Raw genomic sequence first — 20935 nt, forward strand, 5'->3', positions numbered from 1 at the left:
CAGGACTTTAAAATCCTCACACATTTAAACTGTCATCTGTACTTCCTTTCCATTGTTTGTAGAAATTAATTCTGATCTAGATATTCTGATCCAGAAGTATTTTGTAACAGGCCCTTTGTCCATTAGTGAGGAATATGTGTTAACCCTAAATGTTCTGCCATTTTCTGATGAGAAGAGATTTTGACCCCAGAGGCTTCATATATTTTGTTAGTCCAGCTGTTGATGAATTTTAAGATTCAAGTTACATTCAAACATATATATATATATGTACGTAAGTTTACATATATAAAGTATCTATGAGTTAGAGAAAGTGATGAACCAAGAATTGATTCTAAACAATGCTGTTACATTTTGTCTATTTTAAATGACAATATTCTTATATTTAACAGTCAACATAATTCAAAAACCAGACTTTGAAATATGGTGGATGATACTCCATTTTTGATTCTCCTCAGAAATGCAGTTTTTCATTATAGAGGTTATTATGTAAAGGTTTGATTTGTATAAGTATATAAATATTTGAATACAGATCCAAATTTATTTGAACTTTAGCACCAAAGAGTCAAAAGGAAATGAAGCACAAAGTCTCATGAGGTAACTATTATTTCCAGTTTCCAGCGTGGTGAAATATTATGAAAACAGTTCCTTAAAGTATGTTGGACCTTGTAATTCATCCTTACTGGTTTATTAATTTCTCTAAAGTAGTGCCTGTGTAATGAAGTACTTGAGTTAAAGGTCAAGTATATGTCAGGAAAAAAAAAATTATAAGAGTTGTCTCTTTTAAATAGTGTGATTTTTTTTTTTGGAGAAAATACTAATACCAGCTTCCAAAAATGACTTATTAAGATGAGCCCAGTAGTAGAATTCTTGAAAATAGTTAAGAATCTGAAGATATTTTTAACAACTTGGAAATAAATTATTAAAACAGCTTGAACTTTATTCTCAAACTATATTTTAAAATTTTATTTGAATTGCTTAAATAGGTTTTAAAGTTAATAAAGTGATTCTTAATTTCAGTTTAAATGAATCCATCTTTATATGCCAGGAGATATTATGGGTTTATATATACTTTAACAGCCAAGTGATGTAAGCCTGACCCAAATTCCAGGAGATCTGCTCCTGGTGCCATTTTCAAACACATTTGACCCTGAGAGAACTTGATCCCATCTTGTTCTGGCCATTAAAAAGGTCTCTGAGAGGTCAAATCAATTCTAGTAGCCACCAAAAGATTCTCATTCTTGGTTGATTTTCCCCCCACCACCACCCTGCTAAAGCAGTTGTCCTCTAAGTTCATCCTGGACCAGAACAGGTTTTCAGAGGACTCAATGTAGCCGTGAATCTGAATTTTGAGGTTTTGAAGTTTGGCCACAGTAAGGTCCATAATTACCAGAATAACAAAAGAGCCTGACCTAAACTTTATATATTTTTGGTCAGTTTACCTAAAAGAAAACTTACCTTTTCATCTAAAATGTGTGAGTGTGTATTTGTGTGTGTGTGCATTAGTATGTTTGTATATTTGCCACTGTCTAAGACAGTTATTTTGCTGATAAATGTTTTCAGTCTCCTAGTATTACGATGGATAGATAGGCCAGAAATTTATGTCAAGAAAGAAACATATACATAATATATGTGAGAGTTCAGGTGGGGATGGGGAACAAAGAATGCCACTGAGAAAGCAGAAACATGAGAAAGCAGGCCTGGAGGGGATTGCTTCCAAGGCCAGACTACAGAGTTGGATGCCTGGGTGATTGAAGAGAGCTGCCCCAGTGCTGGAGACTAGATAGCACCGGATGTTAGGAACCTGCTAGGAGGGCAGCCTCACCTGAATTGAAATTGAAAGGCAGAGAGCCTAGAAAGTATCCTGAAGTGAGCAGGGAAGAGCTATACCTTGGACTAGAGGGTAGAGGGCAATGTGGCCCCCAGGAGTGAAATGAAATATAATAGTATATAAAGTCTTTGTCTGTAAGTGATGGCTCAGGACAGCCTGAATGGTGTAACAGGATTATCTATGTATAATTCACCAGCTTTTTTCTAGATAAACCATGAGAATAATGGAAAATGTAGTTGAGGAACTTTAAATGTTGGTGGTTGTGTTATGTGGACAGTAAGTGCCCTGTAAAAGAACGGTATTGCAAAGGTGGAAAGATGGTTGTTTCTCAGTTACAGTCTTTAAAGGGAGACAGCAGAAATCAACCACACAGATGACCAGACAACCTATTTGGATTCCTTTTCATTACCCAGAAAGCAAATTGGAGAGAGTTACCTCCAACCATTGAAGAAGCACCTAATGTCCCACCATAGTTCTGTGCTCCATGAGATTGTTTACTTCCCCCTTAATGTATTTGCCAGTACTCCAGAAACAGACATCTTAGGACTTGAGAGCTTTATGTGACCTGCATAGATTCTTGGTCTTCAGTGGCTCCTATTGGTTGATGCTTTTAGGTTGCGCAAAAGCCCTCAGGAATACGTTGGGCAGTGTGCTCAAAGTGGCATTCCAATTTTTCACGTATTATTTTCCCAATGGTGGGAGATGGGACTGGAATCCACCTGCAGGTCTCCTGTGAGACAGTTAAGATTGCCTCATTATACCTGTAGGCAGAGAGACCCTCCAACTTGGAGGAGGCTCACCTGCCCACTGACAGTGGCAGTAGAGCAAAGACTTGAGACAAAGCAGGATGTGGAGAGACTGGTTTCCTTACCTTAACTACCCAGACCAGGGAATATGTTTTCTTCTGCCAACATAAAATAGTCAAGCATTTTCTGGGTCCCAGTTACGGAACATTAGAACAACTAATTAGGACAGCCCAATCAATGGAAAACAGATTCCATAGAAAATAAATTAGGGAAACAGCATTCTAGATCCTTTTTTAGAGTTCAGCAGTGCACGCGATCATATTAAAAGCTCTGAGAAGCCTTTTGATAATGAAAGTGGTTTCACTGCATCTGACTCACTGTAGCTCCACATCCACTTTGGACCTTATTTTCCTTAAATATCTATTAACATTTCTTGAAACTTAGTGTTAAAAGAATCAGAAGCTAGGAGGCAGATGCCGAGAGAGGGGACACGGACTGATAGGGAAGGGATAAAACCACCAAAGACATGTTTAGTCCCCAGTTTGAGCTAAAAAATTTTTAGGTGGTTTTATCCTTTGCCTCATGTGGCCTATTCTTTAGCAGCTTTAGTAACGGGGTTACTAGTGAAGCCTATTAAGACTACCATGTCTGGAAAAGGCTGCGTTTTTTTGTTATTAAATCCTTACATTGGCTGCTTAGTTTTTGAATTAAGTTGAAGAATAATGAATTTGGTCTAATTATGAGCAAACCAGTTTTTTGGTTTTTGGTGTTTTTTTTTTTGAGACAGAGTCTTGCTCTGTTGCCAAGGCTGGAGTGCAGTGGTGCGATCTCAGCTCACTGCAACCTCCACCTCCCGGGTTCAAGCACTCCTTCTGCCTCAGCCTCCCAAGTAGTTGGGACTACAGGCACGTGCCACCATGCCCGGCTTATTTTTGTATTTTAGAAGAGACAGGGTTTCACCATATCAGCCAGGCTGGTCTCAACCTCGTGACCTCATGATCCGCCCACCTCAGCCTCCCAAAGTTGCTGGGATTACAGGCGGGAGCCACTGTGCCTGGCCGAGCAAACGACTTGGAACTTGTGATTTGGAACATATCTTTGAAGAAGAGCAGTCTTTTAAACTTTAAAAATACGTTTGGTAAAGATACCCAGGTTATCAAGTTATTTGTGGCTTATCAGTATATAATATAATAATTATATATAAATGATTGCTTTAAGAAGATAATTCTGATATTTTGTTGGTCATGTTACTAAGCAGTTTTTTTAACAGCCCAGTGATAAACTTTAAGCACAGTTTTTATTATGTCTGAATTAATGACATGTCACTGAATAGAAAGCACAAATATTTTAGAAAGGTATCCAAAACATTATTTACTCCTCTAGGAATAAAGACATTTGAAAATGCCGTTAGTGGGTCTTCTCCCACATTTCCTCCTCCCCAAAAAGATTTTTTAAATTTCTGTGTTATTGATTAATATGGCTTATTTTCATCCACAGAGGCCAGTAAGCTTGTCATGTCCTATGTGGCAGCTGTTTGTGGAAAAGGAGCAGAAGTTAATCAAGTTAAAGAACAGCTTTTACAGTCCAACCCGGTCCTGGAAGGTAGGATGTGTTATGTTCATTAAGTCGGTGTGACTCAAACAGTAGATTGAGTTATGTGGGTGCTTTGAGTACCTGGTCTGCTGGGAGGTATTCTGGGAGGGAAGAGGAAGGAAGAGATTCAGGCCAAGACCTGCTGAGCAAATAAGCCGTGTTCTAGAACCTCTTGGCCTAAGTGTTTAGCAGAATAGTTTACTAATGTAAAATGGGCTTCCTCACTTAACAGTCACTTTTCCCCACTCAATTTTTATTTGAATTCTTTAAATTTTGATTAAAAATAATCAACTGATCATTTGCATATGATGGTGCAGTGCTGTTTTATTATTCAGGATAACACCTGTGGCTGATTATTTTTGTTGTTAGAGAAATGAGGGCTCACCCCGAGAAACACTTAAGGACTCATTTTTTCCAGAGTCATAGAAAGCCTAAACCTGACTGGAGAGTGCTCAAATTCTCTATTTAGTTCTCTGTCTTAGCTTGGGCTGCCATAACAAAGTACACAGACTAGGTGGCTTCAACAACAGAAACTTATTTTCTCAAACCTCTAGAGGCTAGAAGTTCAAGATCAAGCTGTTGTCCAGGTAGATTTTATTCTGAGGCCTCTTTTCTTGGCTTGTAGGTGGCTGCCATCTTGCTGTATGCTCACTTGACCTTTTCACTGTGCTTGAGTGGGGAGAGGTGAGAGCAAGCTCTCTGGAATCTCTTCTCATAAGACCACCAGTTCCATCTTGAGGGCCTCACCCGTCATGACCACATCTCACCTTGATTCCTTCCCACAAGCCCCACCTCCTAATACTAGCTTTTTGAGGGTTAGGGCTTCAACATATGAATTTTGCAGGGAGATAAGCATTCAGCCCATAACATCATCAGAAAACAAAACCAGAAATGAGTTTCCTTAATGCCATGGAGAATGGCATACAACATCAGTATGAACTACCTTGGCATTGGAAACAGTATATCAAAGTCTTTCCCTACTGATGGCAAGCTATTAAACTGCTTTATGGCTGGGCACAGTGGCTCACACCTGTAATCCCAGCTCTTTGGGAGGCCAAGGCGGGTGGATCACTTGAGGCCAGGAGTTCGAGACCAGCCTTGCCAACGTGATGAAACCCCTTCTCTACTAAAAATACAAAAATTAGCTGGGCGTGGTGGCACATGCCTGTAATCCCAGCTACTTGGGAGGTTGAAACATGAGAATCGCTTGAGTCTGGGAGGTGGAGTTTGCAGTGAGCCAAGGTCACACCACTGCACTCCAGCCTGGGCAACAGAGGAAGACTCTGTCTCAAACAAACAAAGAAAAAAAACTTGTTTTATATTGTAAGCGACAGAGGGAGACTCTGTCTCAAAAAAAAAAATGCTTTATATTGTAAGCATGTCTTTACTGTCACTTAACATATTTGTTATGGTGGAGTAAGGTTTCTCAGCCTCAGCAGTGTTGGACTGCTTACATGTTGCTGTGGAAGGGTGTCCTGTGCATTGTAGGATGGCCTGTCCTGTGCATCTCTGACCTCTGTTAGCTGCCAGTTGCACCCCTGCCCCTAGTTGTTACAGTTGAAAGTATCTCCAGACATTGTCAGATGTCCCCTAGGGAGTCAGAACCACCCTTGATTAGAATCTCTAGGCTAGATAGGTAGTTTGGTGGAAACTTTTGGTTCAAGTCATAGAAGTAAAGTCATGGAAGGATGAGATTCAACACGGATTAAAGCAGAACTGCTTTGGGGTAGTTTTTTCCCAGTATGAAGGGTTAAAACCCTGCCCTGTTGTCGTTTGTACTCAGGCTCAGCCTCTCCTGCCCTTTCAGAGAGGCTCCCGAACACTGAGTATTCACTGTGACCCCAAGACACACTTCCCATGCTTCAGTTTCACCATTACAAGGACACACCATGCATCTGTATCCCCAGTTAGTAGCATAAGAGAGAAATGAAGGCAAATCATCTATTATGCTGTTTTTGATCTTTCCTCCATTGCAATATCTTAATAACGAAGCTATTATGGAAAGCGATATCTCTCAATTTTATTGTTCCAATATTTGACTTTTTGTTTATTGTCTTTTGCTTTTAAGTTGGGGTGCTATACATTTGCTGTATTTCTGCATATGTTTATTTTAAGAGTGCTGTGATGTAAAGGAGAAATGCTGAGGAATGCTGTAGCCTGCATCTGTGACTGGAATCTGGCTCTTTATTCAGTGGTATTTGGAACTAGGCTCCAGTGCAGGAAATAGAAGAAATGTCTACTGTGGGCATGCATTATCTTTTATGGGAATGCTTTACTTTTTAGCTGGAGCTGCTACTGTAAATGAACATTTAGAACAATGAACTTTAAAAAAACCAATTGAGGAATGTGTCTCAAGTGTTCTATAATGGAACACTTGCTTTTTATTCTGTGGCTCACAATAAAAGGCTTTAGTGTTTAGGGTTGTGTTTAGTAATGTGCAACTCAGATTTGTTTGATGAAAAGATGGTTTATGGCTTGCAAATAGCACCCTGAATAAAGTTTCTTTGAAGCAATTCCTTCACTTGCCCCTGACCTTCAAGCCACAATAAACTGTCCTTTATGCATCAACATCTCTAGTCGGACTTGGGGCTGTGCAAGTTAGCTAACTTGGCAGCCCTGCATGTTCACACCCACCACAAAAGACTAGCCTGTGAAAACACAAGAAATGTCATCGTCTTCATGATAACTAGGTCAATACACACCATTATCAAGGTTACATTCATGAAAGCCTTTTAACTGGTGGTGGACATGAGATAAGAATGGGAACCTCTCCAGCAAGCATCCTTTTTTGAATATTTTTAGGTGCAAATTTCTTCATTCTGTATAGCATTTCAGCTCATCTTCTGTTGAAGACAGAATTTGCTGCCAGGGACCTACCAAACCATACTCAGCCCAAGCAGCATCTCTAAGGCAAAGAACTTTGCCTGTGTTGACTTTGTAAATGTTGTCTTAACCAAGCTTGGGCAACTATCTTTTTAAGAATCAAAAACACAGCCGGGCGTGGTGGCTCACGCCTGTAATCCCAGCACTTTGGGAGGCCGAGGGGGGTGGATCACGAGGTCAGGAGATCGAGACCATCCCGGCTAAAACGGTGAAACCCCGTCTCTACTAAAAATACAAAAAATTAGCCGGGCGTAGTGGCGGGCGCCTGTAGTCCCAGCTACTTGGGAGGCTGAGGCAGGAGAATGGCGTGAACCCGGGAGGCGGAGCTTGCAGTGAGCCGAGATCCCGCCGCTGCACTCCAGCCTGGGCGACAGAGCGAGACTCCGTCTCAAAAAAAAAAAAAAAAAAAAAAGAATCAAAAACACGAAAAAGCCACTCCACACAAAATATAATGCATCAAGTGTGGCTGCTGAATTACCGGAGTTAACATAGGTAAGCACACACCCTCTCTCCTTGATCAGAGACTTCTGACTGCTTTCAAAAGTCAGACCAGATTTTAGCCCGTAGTTCTCATTTGAACACTCAGTAGTCTAATCTGCTCCCTGTTTAATTTGAAGAAGTTATGGAGACCTCTAGAGATTTGATGCCTAGCCTCTGATTCCAGAAGTTTATTTCTGTTCACCACATTATTCATTCTAGCTGCCGTGTGGCCCCTGGATCCCAGTAACAGACTGGGCAGGTGGGAGGCTTGGTAGAAACGGAGGATCTCATGCCTCTTCCCAGACCCATTGAACCTGAGTCTGCACTTTATCCTCATGTAGTTAGTTTGCACATTAAAGTTTGAAATGGTAAAGATGGGCGGGGTGGGGCTTCCAGAGTGTCAAACAGGGATCGCCTCTACTTATACAACTTATGTTTAGGCTACTTAATCTTCTACTACCATGGCCCAGGTTAACTTGCTCCTATCTTATGCACAGGCTTGGTGAAACAATCCTTTTACCCTATGACTCCGTGCTGTTCCCTGTGTTAAACAAGAGCACTGTGTGTCTGGACCAGCGTCAACCATGGGGTTCTTAAACGCTCTCATTTAAAAGGGAGTCCTGTGAGGGATTTGTCTCCAGGAAACAGCTAAGATTGGAACATTTGTATTTTGCATTATGGGCCAAATTGTTTTTCTTTGTTGTCTGGAAAGTTTCACCTAGGTCTGATGTGCATAAACTGATGAAACCATGTAGCACTTGTAGCCTATTGGAAATGACTGTTGTTTCCAAATCTCTTATTCTTCCTGTATTCCAGAGCTATATAATTAATAATATTTAAATAGCTTTATTTTAAAATTAATTAAACAATTTAAAGGTTCACATGCCATTCCCCATGATCTGGAAACTTCAAGTTCCATAAAGCCTTTGATAATAAGTAATCTCTGAAATAACCTTATTCAGTGATGATAATCCTAGAAGAGCATGAAGCTTTGCTTCCTGGTCACTCAATTGACTACTCTCTAGAAGTGTTAAAAGGTGTTGAATTAGGTAAGATTAAGTTTACAGTAATACTTGAAAAAATTCCATGAGTCATAGGAATGATTCTCTTTTTCTATGAACTTGTAAGACATGGAAGCTTTAGCAACTTACTAAGACTTCTGTTAAGTATATTTCTATGGAAGTTTTGGACAGAAATATCATTGCTACAAGTTGTATTTTCCAGAAATCATAGATTTCAAATACTGTATTTGCTTTATCTTTCTGCTTGAGATTATTATTATTTTTTTAACCATACATCTGTTTCTTTCCTACTAGCTTTTGGAAATGCCAAAACTGTAAGGAATGACAACTCCTCTAGATTTGTAAGTATTTGTATAAGCATAAGTGTTAACACTAATATTTAGCTCATGTATGTTTAAACAACCAGTAGATGTTTAATATTTCTTAATACACACATTTTTAAAATAAGAGGAACATCATCTCTATTGAAACACAAAGTTCTATAAGGACTCTTGATTTCTGGAATTTTCCTTTTGAATTCTTTTTGGAGTAACAAGCAATTTTTATCATGTTTTCTTGACATCTTCTATCATAAAATCCCATAAGCAATTTAAATGAGGCTATTTAGAGTAACACTTTGCTTATCTGAGTTTGGTATTTAGAAATCAAGAATCAGAAATTAAGAGAAAGATAAACTGGGTCTCAAGTTTAGGGTTAGGGTGCACCGTAACCCTTGTCCCTTATTCAGTGGGTCCAGAAAGGATGGGATGTATTTTAAAATTAATAGAGGTAAAGTCCATAGGCTTGGCAACAAAAGCAAGCATGTGGGGTGAGCGTGGGGCTGTAGAGTAGAACTGAATAATAAAAACCAAATCTATTTGGTGTTTTGAGCTTGATTGAGTTGGAAAATGCTACTTCTCCCTACAGGGTCCATCTTTCCAGCCTCATCCCCCACTACTCCCTGGCCTGTGCCTTGCATGTTGACGCAGTGGGCTCCTCCAGGCGGGCCATGCTCTTGGGTGCCTCTACCCTTTACAGAGACACAGCTGCCTGGATGCAGCTGCAGGAAATATTGAGTCTGATGGTGGTGTTTTGAAATTGATGTATACATTTTTATAATAAAAGATCATTTGTTTAATGAACCGTCTTCTCACATACCTTACTGATTGCCACCAGGGACAATTTTGATGATCTTTTATGCCTCCTTATGTGAGACCCTTCCTGACCTTTCTCCACCTTCTTCTTTTAGATCCCGTTTGGCTCTTTCCTCCTTAAGGTTATTTTGTGCTTAAGGCAGGACAGTGACTTCAAGGGAGATAGTTTTGATAGTTTAGAAAATGGCAGGCTAAATAAGGTTCCTAATTCCAAGGCTGTGAATTTTTTCCATCAGATTAGCCCCTTAAGTTGTTATAACTGATTTGATCTGTGCCTTTTCCTGTTGTGGTAACATGGCTAATCTCATTACATAAATAGAATTAGAAGTGAAGTGTGGGCGATAGAAGTAATTCTAATGACCAAGCTTCTTTATGTGATAGAGATTTTATTTTTGCTGTTTGCAAATTACATACACACACAGTATTTAATATTTGCAAATATATTTAGTCTATAGATCACAAAAATGTAAAAACCCATATTGCTTAAAAGGCTATTACTACTCAGTGATATTTGAAATCTAGTGAAAGGCTTGGCAGGTGATTTGGCTTATTAAGTAACTTCAGAGAAATCCTATTATAACACGGGTATTAGGATATGAGATTAATACCTGATTATGGGCTAAATCATTTCATGCCCAGTTTTTAGCAGTTTCTCTGCTTTGTGGTCTGTGACTTGACTAGTAATATACCCATGTTTTAATTTTATAGGAGGACTCTACTGTATTTAAAGTTACTACTGTACCTAACAGTGGTTTATGTACTTGTACTCCGGGGAAATTGCAATGTCTTCGACTTGCAAACCAGTCTGTGTTGGTCTGGTTAACCTGGAATGAATTCCTTGACCTCTTCACTGAGTAGTCTGATAGACCCTGCTATGTTGTAGTTAATGCTTGCTCATCGTAGCTCACATTTTGAACCAGTATTCCCATGGAGATGCCTCACAGTGTCCGCTCCCCACCACAGCAGCTGTAGTTTGACATATTGAGCTACGAGTTATTTCTGAGTGGACTAGTGACATGATCAGAACCCAGCTTTTGGCGAGTAATCAGGAAGTGGCTTAGTGGGAATAGTGTCATTCCACTATCAACTGAATTCTCAGGGCTGGCCACTCATTGGTTTATCCCTGGTTGTCTTCCTTTTCCATTCTCTCCAGTGTTTATTCTACTCTCCTCAAACATCCTATTTTTTTACTCTCAGCTCATGATGTTACGCCTACTTCACAGAAATCACCATCATCATCATACAGGCCTTCAAACTGAGTTAATCCTGCTTCCTGGTGCCTGACCTATATGTATGTCTATGTACACTCCTTTTACCTAGGCTCTAGATTCTGTCGCCTCCTGTGGCCAGGGACCACCTTCTGTCAAAAGGATCCCCTCTTACATGGTCAACCTCTGACTCCTTTGACAGAGTAACCATTCTTTCCCTCCTTTGTAGCTGCTTCACCTCCTTGGTCCCCCACCTTCTTGGAGGTCCTCCCTGTACACTGAGTGGCCTGGGCCACATGACTGGACTTTTTTTTTTCCTCTCTCATCTCCTGCATCCAACCTGGGCCTGTTCCTGTGACTCTCCGGGTAGCTCTCAATTCTGTTTACTTTTTCTCTTTGACTACTTCTACTTAAAGCCACCAACATTTCTCCACTAATCACTGTAGCCACCTCCTGTCAGCTACATCTTCTCTTGCTTCTTTCCTGTTCATTCCATGCTAGCCAGGGAAATCTTGTAAATAGGCAGGTTTGATCATGGCATCCTTGTTTAGGAGCCTTTAAGGACATGGCTTTGGTGTGACGAGAATATCTCAAAGTAATCATGTGCTCCAACTTCCCTCTCCAGCCTTGTTTCCCACTCATCCTCACGGTTGCCAATTCTTATGCCTACTCCTTCCTGGTCTCCCACCTCCTTGCCCACCTGACTTCTGCTGATACTTTGCAATTAAGATGGGGCAGATTTCCTACTCTCCCTTTGTTCCCGCTTCTTTGGCATAGCACCAGGACCCACTGTAGGACATATCCTCCTAGACTGGAATATCCAGTTAACCTGTCTCAATTCCCCCGCTAGACAGTAAGCTCCTTGAAGGCAGGAGCCATGCCATGCTTTCGCTTGTGCCTACTTCAGCTTTAAGGAAATGGTTGAGGGACATATCCTTATGAATAAGTGCAGACCTAAAAGGGTAGAGGACCCATGATGATGAAAAAAGAGAAGGTGCAGGAGCATGCATAAGCCGATAAAAAGGCACAAATTGCATTGTTGACTGAGTTCCATGTGATTGTATTTCTTCTCCCTTACCCTCATTTTGAAAATTAATGAGTTAAAGTAATTCTTAGGACATGAAACAAAACTAAAGACTTTACTTATTAGATCAACACACACTTTTCCAAACAAGAAACAGCTGTCACAGTTACTCTGTTATACTTGTTACTCTTTAGGCAATTATAGACCAGTTCTTTTAACAATCAGAATATTAAACTCTATGTGTGTTTCTGTGTGTTTAAGATACTATCTATAAAGTGTAAAATGAACCTGCGTTATATATTGCTATTATAATCTGGGTGAAAAGCCAAAAACAGTAATAATGACCAGTGTGATTCTGACCTGTTCATAACACATAATCTTGTATTTGATTTGAGTAGATATAAAAACAGATCTCTGAACGTTTCAATTCATTTACTGATATGTTTCAAGTTCCTAGCAATGGCTTAAAACATATTCTGCCAATAAAAAAAGACTATCTTCCCAACCAGTCTGTATACACAGACAACTTATTTTTCTTCTGTTTTTATTTTTGAATTGAGTACATATCCTCCAGAAGTTTGAAAAATAATCTTAAATGGAAAAATCACATGATGGCTGAGAAGATTTGTTCCTAAATTAGCAGTGGGTTATATTAGCTTTGAACTAATGGGGTATTTAGTATGAATTATTTATGGAGGCATGTTGTTTTGCATCGTGGTTATATAAACTGTGTCTTTCTTAGTTACATTTAAACAAATGTATAAAAATAAGGGCTTAGTCTGCTGTTCTCTAAGAAGTACACTGAGTTAACATTTTGAGATGAACTAGAAAACTCACAAAATCTTTCTTTGGCAGGGCAAATATATGGATATTGAATTTGACTTTAAAGGCGATCCACTAGGAGGAGTAATAAGTAACTGTGAGTATTTTTCTTCAGTCCTTGTAAAGAAGTTCAGAATACTAAAACATATATTTATAGTAGAATAGTTTAGATACTTGTGTCTTTGAGGCATAAGAATATGTTTCCTTGCTTTATATTTAGACTTTAAGCTTTGCATTTCAGATTGTTTTATAATAGAATGTAATTTATAAATCTTTTTAAAGATCACTTAACATCTTTACCTTGGAAAAACTTTTTAGAAGTTTGCTAAATAAATATTTGCGCTACTGTTTTTTATATTCTATAGGTCTTTTTAAAATCCTATAGGTCTTTAAGGCAATCCAGTATGAAAAAAAGATCCTCTAAGGGTTATTTTCTTTAACAAAATGCTTATGATAAAAAAAATATAAATAATTGGTTTTAAATTATAACTTTTGAAGTAATATTTATTCAATAAAAGGAGTAGACCTGTACTTCAGTCTTATTTTGAGAAATGTTGCTTCTCTTCCAGTGTATTTAAGTGATTGGAATGTGATACACTTGTTAGGTAAAACAGATTTTTTAACCTTCTTTAGACATGATTTGTGACTGTGGAAGTGAAATATTTTATGTGAAAAGTTAAAAAAAAAAAACAAAAAAAACACAATCAGATGAGGTCTGCTCATTCTAGCCCAGGTGCAGAGTTTTCTAAAGTGGGTGTATGAGTGCCACACGGGGTTTTCAGTGTCTCTTGTAAAAATGACAGTGCTGTCAGTGCTTTGGAGTTGTGGCACCCACAGCACAACCCTGATGTCCCTGCTCCTCTTGACTCGTGGTTGATTAGTTTGGAAAATGTAAGATGATGACTCAGGGCTTTGTGCACCTCAGCCACAGTCTGGTTATCCTCTGAGTCCTCTGGGTTTTTTGAGGACCATAGAACTGAACCTTCTCCTGCCCTTGCCTGCCTCACCATCCCATGGTGCTATTGGGATTGTTAGAATGAAAAAATTTATGTTTAGACCTAAAAAAAAAAAAAAAGAAAGTTGACTGAAGTATCCAAAGTGTGCTCATTTATTTTTCTTATAACAGTGGCATTTCGTCTTCAAAGGAAATGTTATGCTGAACCCCAAAGAAGGTACCGGGGTAAAATGAGACCTGATCTGGTTGAAGAGGAGATGGGTAGCCCAGAATCCCGGCACTCTCAGATGCCACTGAGATCTTCCTGACTAGCCCTAGCAGAAGAATGCCATTTGAAAATTATTATTTAGTAATTTGGTCAAACTATGCAGCTGATTTAAAAAAAAAATTAAATCATGATTCAGAGAGTAACCATCTAGGGCTAGAGGTTTCTCATCTTTAAAATGATAGGATTGAATTGGATGAATTCCATGGTTCTTCCCATTTCCAGCATTCTGTAGTTCTTAAATAATTTAACTTCTGGCTGGGCGCAATGGCTCATGCCTGTAATCCCAGCACTTTGGGAGACTGAGGCAGGGGGATCACCTGAGCTCATCAGTTTGAGACCAGCCTGGCCAACATGTGAAACCCCCCGTCTCTACCAAAAATACAAAAGTTAGCCGGATGTGATGGCGCATGCCTGTGGTTCCAGCTCAGGAGATTGACTTAGGAAAATCACTTGAGCCTGGGAGCTGGAGGTTACAGTGAGCCAAGATTGAGCCACTGCGCTCCAACCTGGGTGACAGAGTGAGACCCCATCTCAAAAATAAATAAATAAATAAATAAGTTTCCATTTTAGTTTGCCCACCTACACACTTTTGTATGCCATGTGTTCGGATTGTCCATATTTATAAGAATGTTTAATTATTAGAGAAATGCCTTGAAGAGAAAGTTTTAATATGAATTGAAGTTGAATGGGATAGTGCTACCTAAGTTAAATGATTTCATACACAAAATATGGGAGTAAAAGTACTCATGCAAACCACATACGATGTAACCAAAGGCAAGTGATTATAACCCCTGCCAAACTTGTTAGGAAGACTCTTTTTACAATATATGGCAGCTGATCAGAGCTATCCAGCTAGTGGTTTGCCTCAGTTTTAAGATCACCATTTTAAGGAATGATTAATATTTATTCTGAATGATATTCATGAGCCTTTAGTGCTTTCTTTTTACAAGACAAATTAACTCTAGCTATAAAATTAATAAAACACTGTTTTTAAAAATGAGAGTAGGTTTACTATTTCCATTACAGAACTTATAGCTGAACATTTTGGAATGATTTAATCAATATTACTCGAGGATTTTAGGAAAATAATTCAGGATGATTTTATTATTATAAGGATTAGAAAATAACTTCAGTTTTAAATTTTGAAGTTTAAGTTCTAAGCACAAATGTCTTCTTGTCCCCTGATTCTTGCAGTATCCATGGAGAATAAATATTAAACACTCAGTTCTTTTCCAATTAAGATTAATATATCTTCATGAATGGAGTTCATATGGTGTTTGTTACCATTTGTTCCCACAGTGAAATTATATTGAAATTTGTGGTAGTGAGAACACCCTGGTATTTAAGAGTATCCTTTGCTTTGGAGAGAAAAGGAATACATTAGTGGTAAGAGCAGGAAATTTCATCCTGTATAGAGAACTGACTCATCGGTGGTCACTGGGAGTTGCTGCCTTCTGGCAGAAGGGAGTTTAAAGCAATGGATAAACCAACTGGTGTTCTCTCCAAACTAAAGAAGCTAAAAGTTAGCTTCTTGTAGCGTAGAAAAGAAGACAAAATTTGCCATTTTGTAGGAAGTATATTTTGCCTCCTTTTCCAGCAGCTGCTTAGTGAAAGCATAGATTGTCATTGGCTAAAACTCTTAACCTTGAAAAAGGCACAATATCCCTTGAGCCAATTGTGTACCCAGGAAGTGGAAAGGAAAGCCCGGTAACTCCTCTCTCTTTTTCTAAAAGAGACAAATTAAGTCTGGGACTCACTTGAAAACTACATATCCCTGAGGTTAGTGTCATTAAGAGAGGTATTAAAATAGAAGATGGTAAAACATTTGTTTCAATAGAGAAGATAAAATATAGAAGCACATCCAAATGTTTAGGTGATGTTAAATAATATTTCTCCTAGTTTGTTAAGGTTTGTTGGTCTGATAACATTTATGTTTTTGTATTTGGGGATTTTGCATCTAGTGTTATGAACTGGAAGCTTTTGGAAACTAGTTTTTAAAATTAACATCACAGGCATTTGGTGGCAGTTTAGACAGTGGAGAACATATGGTACAAGTCGCAAGGGATTCTGTCTTCTAGAAGAAGAATAGCACAGAGAAATATACGCTATGAAGAAACTATTATTTCAGATGTGCATACACCTGAGCGAACTATGGACTAGACAGGTCGTCTTGTTCACATTACCTTATCAAGAGTCTAGTGTAATACCTGACACAGCAGGTGTGTAAGTGCAAATACGGGCAGGCTCTTTTTTCCTTATCCATTATTTGGGGCATACCCGTGAGCCTACTTTTGCAACTCTTGTTGGTTTATCATGTGGTTTCCAGTGTCTAAACAAAAGACGGCAAATTACTTCATTCTCTGTGCCTCCATTTCTTCACTTTGAAATGAGAATAACAATAGGACTGATTGCATAGGTTGTCCTGAGGTATAAATTATGTATTAGTATCTAAAGCACTTGTAATAGTGCCTGGTACATAGTGAGCACTCAATAAATATTTGCTTTTTTCACTATAGTTATTTGTTTATTGTCTCTAGCCTTTCACCAAATACATGCTCTATAAGGATAGAGCCTTAGTCTGGTTCATTACTGAGTGACCAGCAACTAAAATAGTGTCAAACATAGGCTGGGTGCCATGGCTCATGCCTGTAATCGCAGCACTTTGGGAGGCCGAGGCAGGCGGATCACGAGGTCAGGAGTTCAAGACCAGCCTGATCAACATGGTGAAACCCCGTCTCTCCTAAAAATACAAAAATTAGCTGGGTGTGGTGGCACACACCTGTAATCCCAGCCACTCGGGAGGCTGAGGCAGTAGGATCACTTGAACCTGGGAGGCAGAGTTTGCAGTGAGACGAGATTGCACCACTGCATTCCAGCCTGGGTGATAGAGCAAGACTCCGTCTTAAATAATAATAATAATAATAATAATAATAATAATAATAATAATGTCGAACACCTTATATATATTTGTTGAATGAATGAATGATCACAAAAGTAATTATGTACAGTTAAGAGTTTTGTTGAGAAATAAAGCTTCTGCTTTATTGGAAAATTTTGTCTGAATATTCTGTGCTAATCATTTAAAAATACTTCTAAATGAATGCTTTTCCTAAATCCCAGAAAGTCAAACAAAATTATTGGTAGTCAGAGTTCTCTTGTTCCTGACTTTGTTCAGCTTGAAAAAAAGAAATTCTGCTAATTATGAATGGAGGCAAATGCTGTGATTTGTCTATGTTCCAGTTATTCTTGCTGCACTGCCTGACAACCCCCCGCCCCCTACAACCTCAAACTTAGTAGCAGAGTACAACAAGTTTGGGTGTTTCACAGTATTACAACTAGGTTCTGAGAGGAAAGTAACATCCTGGCAACCAGTGTTCCAAGAGGTTGAGGAGGAAGCCTGAAGTAGCCTAGGAAAGCATATGGCATGTCACTTCTGCTGTACTCTATGTAGTCACAGTGGGCACCAGCTTGCACAGTTTCAGGGGCAGGGACACAGATCATACCTCTCGAAAGAGTGTCAAATAATTGGTAATCATTTTATTTTAGACAGCCACTGTCTGATAGATTGTTTCCAGAAATGGCACAATAATTTCTGACCCTGTGTCGACAGCCTTGATTAATCCCCTCTCTCATTGATTCAAAGCTTGACTGGGAGATTTATTTTGATCAATGGAACAATTAGCAACTACAGCACAACCAGATACTTGAGGATTGTTTATATATTGGAGTTTGTCCTCTCTTGCTGATCTTGGGAATTCACTATCACCATCATGTGAATGAGCTTGGGTTAGCTGCTGGATGAGGAGAGACACATGGAATGAACTGCTAGACATATGAGTGAGGACATCTTAGCCCAGACGGCTGCCAGCCAGTCGCCAGCAGACAACCAACCCATGAGCAAGCCCAGCAGAGATGAGCCAAGCTGGCTCAGGCCAGAAATATCCAGCTGGCGCCCACAATCGTGAGCTAATAAATGGTATTGTTTTAAGCTGCTGAGTTTTGGGGTGATTTGTTATGCAGCAAAAACTAACTGATACAGGGGTGTGATTGATAATATATCCTTTCCCTCACCCAGTTTGGAAGCACTTGTAAAATAGGCACAAGAATCAAGCTGGAGAGGAAGTGGCTTTATTACTGTTAAAGGCAAGGTTGAGGAAAGTGGCTTTTGGTTTATCACCCAAGTAGATGTGTTAGTAGTCCTCTGGCACTTTGGTAGTGAGGCAGTGATTGACAACGCTAAGCAACTGCTGGCCTCTCCTTGTGTGCATTGCCCCATCTGTCTTACAGCACTGAGGAGTAGAGCCAGATGTGTGCACAGTGTGGGGAACCCAGAGAGCTGAGCCCTCTGTGCACGGCCGTTTCCTTCTGCAAATCTCACTGCTCAGCAAAGTATTTTTTCTCGTCCTGGGGAGGAGTGAGTAAGGGGCCAGCACGCTGGGGGAGTTACTCTAAGGAGATGCTTCCACATGGAAATGTAAAGCAAAAGGAAATGGCCACCCTCCTCACAATGGAGATGGAGGATGGAACAGATTACTCTGGATTGCTTTGTTTTTTTCACATTTCTTTTTAATTTACGACACAATTGGCTTATACCTTCATGTGCTATCTCGTGGCACATTGTTTAATCTGTGTGTGTGCTGCATTCATGCCATTTTGTATGGAACGTGGTTTTACTCTTTTAAATTGTTTGAGATTTACAGCTTTGTTCTTCCTTTTATATCATATATTTGATTTTATTGATGGAAAGTCATCAATAAAAGGCATGAAACTGCCTGTTAGAACACTTCCTAAAGGAATCTCTGATCAGTTTTCTGGGAATATATGTATTGAGGTGAAATAGAAGACTTCCTGTCTATGGGTCAGTTCTCAGTAGTGAGTGGATATTCGTTAATAAAGTGTCTGTTTTTAATCTGCCTTTTTAGGGTCACAAATCAAAAACTAAGAGAATACATTGCCTAATTTATAATACATACAAGGCTGGGCTTCTTTTTTTTTTTTTTTTTTTTGAGTTTTGAGTTTTGAGTTTTAAAGCTCCTGAAGAAGACAGAAGTAGTCAATCATTGGTTGTGAAGTATCTGTAGCAATACAACTGAAATTTCAAAAGAGCAATGCTGTGACTTCGTAATGGGTGGCTTTATATGAAAGTAGATGCTTTCTCTTTATCTCAGTTTTACTTTGTTGTTCTTCATACAAACATACGTTTACCATGAAAAAAGACTGTATTTATCATGAAAGGAGACTATATACAAATATTGAAGAAACCAGGTGCTGAAATAGATCTAAATTAACCTCAGATTAATGAATTAATTTATTCATTCGTTAATTGGTGTTTATTAGGGTAGTAAATCAAGATAGGACCAGATATTTCATTAATTTTATTTCAGGATTGGGTCTAGAATTTTAGATTCAGATACATTCATGAACGAACTTTCAATTATCTGCCTTATGCACTGGCATATGCTTGTTGTTTAATGTATCCTTTTGCTTTACTGAAGAGGCATAAATTCATTGAAAGAACCTAAATGCGACTGAGATGCTTTTTTCATAATATTAGTCTTGGAGCAACTGGAGAGGAGGCACAGGGTCTCTGCGAGCAGTCAGTTTGAGTGATAGCCTTTCAGTCAAGCTTTCATTGTCTTTCTCACCTCACAAGACAAAGCTGATTTTTTCGTAATTAGCCTTAATCAAGAATTTGGACCACTTCTTTTTCCAGGAGAGGAGAGTATACATAAAATAATGAAGCTTTTATCATACTATCTAATCCTTTCTCTGTTACATCCTAAAGTATGTGATGTGATTTTTTTTTCTTCCCGACCAATACATGTCTTTTTATTTATTTGTCAAAAAACTTCATCCTCCAGTAGGTGCAGCCTTAGACTATTTCTTTCACACCTTGTGCCTTGGGGAGGCTGTCTCTGACATGCACAGGCACTTATACGTGTTGTGGACTAGCTGTTAATGAGTCGAGCTAGGAAAGCCCCTACATAACGGCCAGGCTCCGTGTCGATAGTCGGGTGGCGGCAGCGCAGTGGGGCGGGGGGCAAGTTCTCATTCATTGTTTCTTTGTCCCTGCCCCCTTAACTTCCCCACTAGAGTGGCTTAATATGTTTATCTCTTACCTTAAAATGGAAATTTATGCTAAATTTAATATAAACTTAAATTTGTATCTTGTGAGGAGGATGTAGCTGCATTAGAATATCTGGAATATCTCTTCTGTACTAAATATCCAGTGTCTAATAATAACTCTTCTTTACTAAGTCTTGTTAGCAGAGGCTCAATTGGCGGTGGTAGAAGTACCTAAGGCAGAAGAGAAGGCCGTGCCAATGTTCTGCTTTGACTTAATTCAGGGGCACATTTAAGTAAATTAAAATGGTCAGGTGGTGAATCCCTATAGTGAATTGAATTTATGTTCTCTACTTTGAGTAATTATTTGGTATGGCTTCAAGCTGTTAGATTATGTTGGTGCATGCACATTTAGGGGAAGAAAACCAATAAGGAATGGTCTTAAGCATGAGTAAATTTGGGGGCAAACATTTTCCCTGATTACTTTTCTACCTGGAAGCTTGTGACTTATGAGAAAAGTCATAAAGAAATTGAAATGGGAGGCTCTAGGGTAATAGAGTAAGCATTTTAAGTGGTAAAACCTTCAACTGCTTTGTAATGAAAGATTCCTTATCTTGTGTGATTGAGTTGCTTAGGCGAATTCATGTATTTATACAAAGTACAGCATTTCCAAGTGTTTAAGGACATTGCTTTTTTTTTGGCTGGAAAATTATAAAGACTGTAAGCATGATACCTAGTCACCCAGAGCTTTGAATTCTGGCTCTATTGCTTACCAAGACTGGGATGCGAGCCTCATTTTCTCATTTGTAAAATAGGGATTATAAAACCAACCTCAGGGAAGGTGTTCAGGGTTGAATATGATAAAAAATGAAAAGCACTGAACGCATAGCAAAAGGTCAGGGAAGGTTCT

General features: G+C 39.0%; 1 protein-coding gene across 14 annotated transcripts in view; it reads left to right on the forward strand.

The window, feature by feature from the left end:
* MYO1B (myosin IB) overlaps positions 1-20935 on the forward strand; it is a 179983-nt gene that overhangs the window by 91986 nt on the left and 67062 nt on the right. For all 14 annotated transcript variants that reach the window (XM_047444410.1, XM_047444412.1, XM_024452914.2 and 11 more), the window contains 3 exons: positions 4072-4176; positions 8847-8893; positions 12773-12836. In XM_047444410.1, the coding sequence (XP_047300366.1) occupies positions 4072-4176; positions 8847-8893; positions 12773-12836 (216 nt within the window). The remainder of the gene's footprint in view (positions 1-4071; positions 4177-8846; positions 8894-12772; positions 12837-20935) is intronic.

This window comes from Homo sapiens, chromosome 2, assembly GCF_000001405.40.
Source record: "Homo sapiens chromosome 2, GRCh38.p14 Primary Assembly".
Classification (NCBI taxonomy): domain Eukaryota; kingdom Metazoa; phylum Chordata; class Mammalia; order Primates; family Hominidae; genus Homo; species Homo sapiens.